Here is a 10,193-nt window from a genome sequence, read left to right on the forward strand (position 1 = left end):
GTTTATATATTTTTATATGAACATGTGCTTTCATTGCTCTTGGGTACATATCTTGCAGTGGAATTGCTGGTGATAGGGTGTCTCTATGTTTAAACTTTTGAGGAATTAGCAGACTGGTTTCCAGTAACATTTTGTTTCTGCCAGCAATTATGAGGGTTCCATCTTCGGCACATTCTTGTCAATAATTGTTGAAATCTGTCATTTTGATAATAGCCATCCTAACGGGTATGAAGTGGCAAGGTTTTGATTAACATTTTCCTGATGGATAACAATATTGAGTACTTTTTCATGTGCTCATGGGCCATTTGTTTATCTTTGAAAAACGTCTGTTTAGATCTTTCGTCCATTGAGTTGTCATTTTATTTGATTTTTTTTGAGACAGGGTCTTGCTCTATTGCTCAGGCTGGAGTGAAGTGGCATGACCACAATTCACTAGAGCCTCAACCGCCCAGGCTCAAGTGATCCTCCCACCTCAGCCTCTCAAGTATCTGGGACTACAGGTATGCGTCACCACACCTGACTAATTAAAAATTTTTTTTTTTGTAGAGACGAGGTCTCACCATGTTGCCCAGGCAGATCTCAAATTCCTGGGCACAAGCGATCCTCTTGCTTCAGCCTCCCACAGTGCTGGGGGTTGTGGTTTTACAATTGAGTTGTGTGAGTTCTTTATGTACTCTAGATTCCAGTCCCTTAACAGATATAAGATTTGCAAATATTCTCTCCCATTCTCTGGGTTGTCCTATCACTTTCTTGGTGGTCTTGAAAGCACAAAAGTTTTTAATTTTGATGTCTAATTTGTCTATTGTTTTGTTTGTTTGCTTGTAGTTTTGGTGTCGTGTCCTAGAAATTATTGCTTAACACAAAGTCATGAAGACTACTGTGTTTTCTTCTAAGAGTTTTATCATTTTAGCTCCTACATCTAGGTCGGATTCATTTTGAGTTCATTTTTGTGTATGGTATAAGGAAGCAGTTCAATTTCATCCTTTTTTTCTCTTTTGAGATAGGGTCTCACTCTGTTTCCCAGGTTAAAGTGCAGGGGCCAGATCATGGTTCACAGCAGCCTCGACCTCACAGGCTTAAGAGATCCTCCCACTTTAGCCTCCCTATTAGCTGGAGCTACAGGTACTCACCATCATGCCCCACTAATTTTTGCTTTTTTGTTTTTCTGTTTTTTGTTTTTTTTGAGATGAAGTCTCACTTTGTCACCCAGGCTGGAGTGCAGTGGTGCGATCTCGGCTCACTGCAATCTCTACCTCCCAAGTTCAAGCGATTCTTCTGTCTCACCCTCCCAAGTAGCTGGGATTACAGGCGCACACCACCATGCCCGGCTAATTTTTGTATTTTCAGTAGAAACTGGGTCTCACCATGTTGGCCAGACTGCTTTCAAACTCCTGACCTCAAGTGATCCGCCTACATCGGCCTACCAAAGTGCTGGGATTACAGGCGTGAGCCACCATGCCTGGCCTAATTTTTGTATTTTTTATAGAGACAGGGTTTTGCATATTGCCCATGGCTGGTCTTGAACTCCTGAGCTCAAGAGATCTGCCCACCTTGGCCTCCCAAAGTGCTGGGATTACAGGTGTGAGCCACCGTACCCAGTGCCATTTCATTCTTTTGCATGTGGATTATCAATTGTCTCAGCACCATTTGGTAAAAAGAGTATTTTCCCCCATGGAATAGTTTTGACATCTTTGTTGAAAATCAGGTGACCATAAACGTATGGGTTATTTCTGGACTCTTATTTCCATTCCATTCATCTATATGTCTCTCTTTATTCCAGTATCACACTGTCTTGATTACTGTAACTTTGTAGTAAATTTTAAAATTGGGAAGTGTAAATTTTCTAAGTTTGTTCTTCCTTCTCAAGATTGTTCTGGCTATTTTGAGCTCCTTGCATTTCTTTCTATGTGAATTTTCAGATCATCGTCTCCATTTCTGCAAAAACACAGCTGAGGACCGCATTGAATCTCTATATGAATATGGGCAGTATTGCCCTCCTAGCAACAGGAAATCTTCTGAAGCACAAACATGGGGTGTTAGTCCATTTATTTAGGTTTTCTTTAATTTCTTTCAATGATATTTTATAGTTTTCAGAGAACTTTTTAACTTCTTTTGTTAAATTTATTCTTTTTTTTTTTTTCTTTGAGATGGGCTCTTGCTCGGTCACCCAGGCTGGAGTGCAGTGGCACAACCACAGCTCACTGCATCCTCAACCTCCTAGGCTCAAGTGATCCTCCCACTTCAGCCTCCCAAGGATCTGGGATGTGTCACCAATATTTCCAGTATTTAAGAATATTTTGGCTGGGCAGGTGGCCCACAACTGTAATCCCAGCACTTTGGGAGGCTGAGGTAGGAGGATCACTTGATCTCAGGAATTTGAGACCAGCCTGGGCAACATGGGAAAACTCCATCTCTACCAAAAAATACAAAAATTAGCTGGGTGTGGTTGTGCATGCCTGTCGTTCTAGCTACTTGGGAGGCTGAGGTGGAAGGATGGCTTAAGCCCAGGACATCAAGGCTGCAGTAGGTCACGATGACACCACTGCATCCCAGCTTGGGAGACAGAAGGAGATCCTGTCTCAGAAACAAAATAATTTTATTTAATAAAATATTCTTAAATAGTTTACTCTTTGTGATGTTATTGTAATTGGGAGCTGCTGTTTAACAAACTTAATTTTTATTTATTTATTTATATATTTTTAAGATGGAGTCTTGCTCTGTCGCCCAGGCTGGAGTGCAGTGGTGCGATCTCAGCTCACTGCAACTTCTGACTCCCAGGTTCAAGCCATTCTCATGCCTCAGCCTCCTGAGTAGCTGGGACTACAGGTTCGCACCACCACCCCCAGCTAACTTTTGTATTTTTAGTAGAGATGGGGTTTCACCTTGTTGGCCAGGCTGGTCTCAAACTCCTGGCCTCAGGTGATCTGCCTGCCTTGGCCTCCCAAAGTGCTGGGATTACAGGTATGAGCCACCACACCTAGCCCAGACTTTGTTTTTAGAGCAGTGTTAGATTTACAGAAAAATTGAACAGAAGGTACAGGGGTTTCCAGATGCCCTTGTCCCCATACACGCACAGTTTCCTCCACTGTCAACATCCTGGACCAGAGTGGCATATTTGTTACAAATGATGAATCCACATTGACATAGCGTTTTTACCCAAAGCCCACAGTATACATTAGGGTTTATTGTTTGTGGTGTATATTGTATTGGTTTAAAAAATTTATAATGATACATATCCATCATTATAATTTTACAAAAAATATTTTCATTGACCTAAAAAATCTTCCATGCTTCACTGATTCATGCCTTTCCCCACCAGCCACTGATCTTTTTGCCCATTTTAAAATCAAGTCAATTATTTTCTTCATAAATTATGCTTTGATGTAGTATCCAATAAGTCACCACCCACCCAAGATCAAGTAGATTTTCTATGTTAATTTCTAGGAGCTTTATACCTTTGCATTTTACACTTAGGTCTATTTTGAGTTAATTTTTGTAAAGGGCATGATGTCTGTGTCTAGATTTATCTTTTAACATGTGGATATCCAGTTCTTACAGCACCATTTGTTGAAAATACTATCTTTCCTTCATTATATTTCCTTTACTCTGTTGCCAAAGATGAGTTGACTATATTTATGTGCATCTATTTCTGGGCTTTTTATTATGTCTTATTGATCTATGTGTTCATTCTTTCACCAATATAACACAATTTTGATTGCCGTAGCTTTACAGTAAGCCTTGAAGTCAGGTAGTGTCAGTCCTCATACTTTGTTCTTCTCCTTTAACATTGCATTGGCTATTCTTGGCCTTTTGCCTCTCCATATAAAGTTTAGAATCAGTTTGTCGATAACCACAATATAATTTGCTGAGGTTCTGATTGGGATGGCATTGAGTCTATAGATCAAGTTGGGAAGAAATGACATCTTGAAAATATTGAGTCTTCCTATCCATGAACATGGGTTATCCCTTTCTTTATTTAGTTCTTCTCACATCTTTAATCACAGTTTTGTAGTTATCCTCATATAGGTCTTGTACGTGTTTTTGCTAGATTTATACATAAGTATCTCATTTTTTGGATGCTAATGTAAATGGTATTGTGTTTTTAATTTTAAATTCCACTTGTTTATTGCTAGTATATAGAAAAGCAATTGACTTTTGTATATTAACCTTCAAGCTTGCAATCTTACTGTAGTTGCTTGCTAGAGCCAGGAGGTTTTTAAAAGTTATTATTATTTTGGATTTTCTGCATAGATAATTATGTTATTTGCAAATAAAGACAGACTTACTTCTTTCTGCCCAATCTATATACCTTTTGTTTCCTTTTCTTGCTTTATTGCATTAGCTAGGAATTCCCATATGATGTTGAAATGGAGTGATGAGGGGGGACATCCTTGCCTTGTTCCTGATGGAGCTGTCTTTTAAATGCAGTTTTTGAATTTGTCATTGTAAATGTATGAAAGCACAATTGGTTTTGTATATTGATCCTGTATCCTGACCATTTCGTTTTTACATGTAGTCTTCATATTTATAATTTTGATGGTTGAATACAATTCCATCAAATAATATCCCATACTTTACTTAGCTTCTGTAATTGTTGGATTTATATGTTGTTTACAGTTCTTGAATATTAATACTTCTGCTGAAAATAGTTTTGTATATTTGACTATTATCTTTGTAATTATTTATACTTATACTAAATTGGTATGTGTAAAAGGAATAAACATTTTGTATGGTTCAGTGGTTTTTTTTGTTTGGTTTTTGTTTTTTGTTTTTTTGAGATGAAGTCTTACTCTGTTGCCTAGGCTGCAATGCAGTGGTATGATCTCGGCTCACTGCAACCTCTGCCTCCCAGATTAAGTGATTCTTGTGCCTCAGCCTCCTGAGTACCTGGGATTACAGGAGTATGTCACCATGCCCAGCTAATTTTTTGTATTTTTTAGTAGAGACAAGATTTCACCATCTTAGCCAGGCTGGTCTTGAACTCCTGATCTCAGGTGATCCACCCACCTCAGCCTCCCAAAGGGCTGGGATTACAGGTGTGAGCCCCTGTGCCTCGCCTGGTTCAGTGTTTTTATTGACAGGTTGACTTTCAACAGTATGTGTCAATATGTAAAGCCTGAAGCAGATGCATGCGTATACTTATCATCCACTGCTTATCCATCATTCTATCAGCCTACCATGGTGGAGTTGGTTTTGAGGTGAGCAAAATATATAAGGAAGTTAAAAGTAATGGACCACAATTTTGCAAATAGACATTCTACTTTGTGATGGGCCACTGCTATGGTCTGAGTGTTTGTGTCCTCTTAAAATGTGTATGTTAAAATCCTAACCGCCGGCTGGGCGCAGTGGCTCATGCCTGTAATCCCAGCACTTTGGGAGGCCGAGGTGGGCAGATCACAAGGTCAAGAGATCAAGACCATCCTGGCCAACATGGTGAAACCTCGTCTCTACTAAAAATACAAAAATTAGTCAGGCATAGTGGCACGCACCTGTAGTCCCAGGTACTTGGGAGACAAAGGCAGGAGAATCCCTTGAACCTGGGAGGTGGAGGTTGCAGTGAGCCGAGATTGTGCCACTGTACTCCAGCCTGGTGACAGAGCGAGACTCTGTCTAAAAAAAAAACAAAATCCTGACCTCCAAAGTGATGATATTAGGAGATTGGACACTTGGGAGATAATTACGTCATAGGGTGGAGCCCTCATAAATGGGATTTGTGCCCTTTCAAAAGAGGCCTGAGAGAGATCCTTCATCCTTTCCACCATGTGAAGACACAGTGAGAAGGTGCCAGGAAGCAGGCCCTCACAAGACACCAAATCTGCTGGCACCTTCATCTTGGAAATCCTAGCCTCCAGAACTGTGAGAAGTAAGTTTCTTATTGCTTATAAGCCACCCAATATACGGCATTTTATTATAGTATAGCAACCCAAACAGACTAAGACAGCCACTTTGACATTCTCTAACTGCTGCTAGTGATTCTCGTGTGGACATAAACAAGAGTAGTTACTTGGTAAGAAAGGTGGGGATAAATTTGGGAATCGTCATCACTATCACCACAGCCAGAAACACATCTGGGAGCACATGCCCTACTCTTGGTAGACTGGTACCATCCTCTGTGTTTGTTAGACAAATGCATCCTCATCCTCATCCTCATCATTATCATCGGCACCAAAACTGGTATTGACTGGGCACTCACTACATGCAGAGAGTATGCCATGTCCTCAGCGTGGAGTCCTGATAAGATAGGTAAGCAACAATGAGGAAGGCGTCCCAGGTAGGAGAGAACAATCGTTCCAAGAGATGGCTAATCACTGACAACCCAAATCCTGTTCCCAAATACCTTACTCCACATGTAGCCTCAGCAGCACAACCTCATCTGCACATAGCGTGTCCAGCACAACCTTATAAAACTTCCCCCAGTCACTGACTCTTTGTAGACAGCCTCTTTTCTGCTGTGCTGCCCATTGTACCCATGAAACGTATCCTCATACTTTCTCTAATTTATCTGCCTTTCTTTACTTACAACTGTCTTGGTAACTTTCTTTGCTGCCCATGAAACTGTCCCCAGCCAGTCATACCCACAACATACAACATCTCCTTAACTCCTCTCACAATCCGCTGAGGTAGGTAGTATTATGATTCCCACTTAATAGGTGAGTTAACTGAGTCTTTGAGAGATTAAATAAACTCTTCAAGGGCTGTCCAGTAGTACGTATTAGAGCCAAGAGTTGAATGTGGGTTTGTGTGGCCAGAGTCCATGCACTAAAACACTGTACTGCCTTATTGTTACATATATGATGAAGAGAGGGGCTGCAGTTTGCTGAGTCGATAGTTTTGTAAAGATACCAACGTGGTAAATTTTTTTTTTTTTTTTTTGAGACGGAGTTTTGCTCTTGTTGCTCAGGCTGGAGTGCAATGGCGTGATCTCGGCTCACCGCAACTTCCACCTCCCGGGTTCAAGTGATTCTCCTGCCTCCATCTCCCGAGTAGCTGGGATTACAGGCATGCACCACCACGCCCAGCTGATTTTTTGTATTTTTAGTAGAGACAGGGTTTCTCCATGTTGGTCAGGCTGGTCTCGAACTCCCGACCTCAGGCAATCCACCCGCCTCGGCCTCCCAAAGTGCTGGGATTACAGGCGTGAGCCACCGTGCCTGGACGCAATGTGGTAAATCATTTAATTAACCTAAAAAAAATGCTAATGCAGAAATCATAGTACTGTAATGAAATTATTTAACCCGAGGTAAACAGCCCCAGGCGATTAGATGAAATAATTTATTATCCAAATAAGGTTTAGGGAGATTGGCCAGGTCAGTGCCAACGGCCTACTCTGGCCACTCAGCTGAGCCTTCTATTCATGGGTCCTGCATGGGGTTGGCACACTCCTCTCTTGAGCCTTTACTTTCCTCATGACAACTTTCTGCACAGATATGGAAGTGTGCTTTTCCTAAACTTCCTTCTTTTAACTTAAGTTGAGGACATAATAGGACTGTGCAGAGTTTATGCAAATGACACTGGCCTTTAGTAATGTTTCTAAAAATGGAACTCTGCAAGATTTAATATCACTGTGGTTGCCCGAAGAGAGTCACAGGAGCAGTGATAAAGGTGTTTTCTATGAAATGTGAATACAAAAAGCACAGGTGAGCCACCCAGTTTGATTTCAACGGAAGGAAGCCATTCTCCTATTGTGATTTCAATGTGTTGAGTGAGCAGGGACCTTTCAAAATGGTGCATGCTGTTACAGAGAAGTGGGCATGTTAGTGCCTCTTGTTGGCCCAGACTTAACCTCAAGGAAATGGAGAAACCAGATTCTGTTCTGGAACTGGTTTCACAGCTTGATTTCGTCAAACATTGAGAGAGTTTGTTGATTTCCTTCTAAGTGCTAGCCTTGTCCTAGGCACAGTGAGTGAATCCAAAGATGCATCCGACATGGACCTGCTCCTAAGGAACTTTTGATGCACCTGGGAAGATGCGTATGAATATAAATATGATAATTCAGGTTTTCAAAGTGATGCAGTCCTTTTAAAAAAAAGATAATGTCAATAATAACAAAGGGATGCAGTTGTTATGCCCAGATTCCAGAGAGGGGTGCTATTGCGAAATGAAGAGGACAGAGACTTCTTCATGAAGAAGAAACAGTATGACCTCACGAGGCTGATGGCCGCACCAACTGCTGTTGGACTTGGGGTCTAGAACCAGTTGTGTTAAGTAAACCATTCAAGCCTTCTGGGCCTCAATTTCTTAATCTGTAAAAGGAAAGATGATCTCCCTGAGGTTCCTTCCCACCTTGATTATTCTCTATAAAGAAGGATTTGGCTAAAAGCAGCTAGTGCTCATTGAGCACTTCCTGGACATGATTTTCATATTAATCAACACAGTAGCCTCATGGTAGAGCTGCAGCTTTTATTCCCATTTTACAAAGGAGGGGAGTGAGGCTCAAGGAGATTAAGGGATTTGCCCTTCTACATCCAAACCCAGATTTGAGCAAATCTAAAGCCTTGAATCCCTGTGTTACAAAACCTTCAAGGAAGGGGATGCATTTAGGGGAAGAGCCAAGAAGGGAAGAGCATTCCAGGGAAGGCAAGCAGTGTGGACATAGTCAGGACCTAAGTGGCAAGACTGTAGTGTGTTCAGGAACAGCAAGATGACCTCGATGGCTGGAGCAAAGAGTTGCACAGCAAACTGGGTCAACGTGCTTCTAGCACACCTTCCAACAGCCCCAAAGGAAACCTATACACCCTCCCCAGGCCCTCCTCCAGCAATATCAGAATGTTAGTTTCCTGTACAGGTGGAAAGAGTCTTTAAAAGGCTGCCTCCTCTGAGATATGTTGCATAAATTATTTTGAGGAAAAACATGATTTATGAACTTCCCCAACCTTCAGAACTGTGGCAAGGGACCTCCCCCAAAGGTTGGAAGCATTTTCTTTCTTTTTTTTAGGATGGATCCTGGCTCTGTCATCCAAGCTGGAGTGCAGTGACACAATCTTGGCTCACTACAACCTCTGCCTCCCGGGTTCAAGCGATTCTCTCGCCTCAGCCTTCCAAGTAGCTGGGATTACAGGCACATGCCACCAAGCCCAGCTAATTTTTGTATTTTTAGTAGAGATGGGGTTTCACCATGTTGAAAGCCAGGTTGGTCTTGAACTCCTGACCTCAGGTGATCTGCCTGCCTCGGCCTCCCAAAGTGCTGGGATTACAGGCGTGAGCCACTGTGCCCAGCCTGGAAGCATCTTTTCATCAGAGATGGAGCTGAAGTTAGGCATCAGCATCCCCCAGCCTCTGTCATTGGATGTTGGTCTAAAGAGACCTTGTGATCTGCCAGGGGAGCTTCTGGTTGGATAAGGACAACCGCTTCACCAGATTATGACCAGGCTATGACAGGCAGCAGAGCCCAGAAATGTGCTGCAGGGCCTTCCTCCCGTGAGCTCCCCTGAGCTCCTCAGCACCAGGTTCATGAATTACGGGATAGAATCTCCTTTACCCTGTGGTTACAGGTATTGTTCTAGCCCCACCATAAGATGATCATTTCTTAAAAAAAAAAAAAAAAAGACTATTTTTATTACAGCAACACACACACATCATCAAATAGCATTAAAAGACTGAATCCTCTGGACTTATTTTCTGCTATCTACTTACTGATTCATACCTTTTAGATAATATGCCAATATGCATTGTTTTGACTTCCTATCATAATAATTGACCGTTTTAGTTTTTTTCTACTTCGTTTTATCCCTTTTTTTTTTTTTTTTTTTAGAGAAATAGGGTCTTGCTATGTTACCCAGGCTGGTCTTAAACTTCTGGCCTTAAGTGATCCTTCCACCTCGACCTCCCAAAGTGCTGGGATTACAGGCATGAGCCAACATGCCCAACTCCCCCTGTATTGTTATAGCACAATTTTTGTTTAATGTTAATGTGCTGATGTCTTCGTTAAAGTTTTTGAAAATTTAATAAGTAAATGCTGGTCACTGGTAAGCCAAGTAGTAATGTCCTCTGATGATATCTGATTAAACTACTTGACATGGTCAGTATCCATCTATTTTGACTTATGAAGATGGCAATTTCACATTGGTCAGCCTAAACTTTGGTGTAAGTTTTGTTTCTTGGAGTTAATAACTGATTTTTTTTTTGTATGTGTTTCTCTGAGGCTGAAAGATTTTATATCTTTTAAAGACCTTTTCTTAGTTCCTGGGAGCCTG

General features: G+C 41.5%; 1 annotated feature.

Annotated features, from left to right (window-relative positions):
• Positions 7,432-8,014: an enhancer, noted in NCBI's record as "NANOG hESC enhancer chr10:30862856-30863438 (GRCh37/hg19 assembly coordinates)". NCBI's record gives its function as "activates a minimal SCP1, AML or CMV promoter by ChIP-STARR-seq in primed H9 embryonic stem cells {active_cell/tissue: H9 hESC(primed)}" and the evidence as "EXISTENCE:reporter gene assay evidence [ECO:0000049][PMID:30033119]".

The sequence above is a fragment of the Homo sapiens genome, chromosome 10 (genome assembly GCF_000001405.40).
Source record: "Homo sapiens chromosome 10, GRCh38.p14 Primary Assembly".
Lineage (NCBI taxonomy): Eukaryota > Metazoa > Chordata > Mammalia > Primates > Hominidae > Homo > Homo sapiens.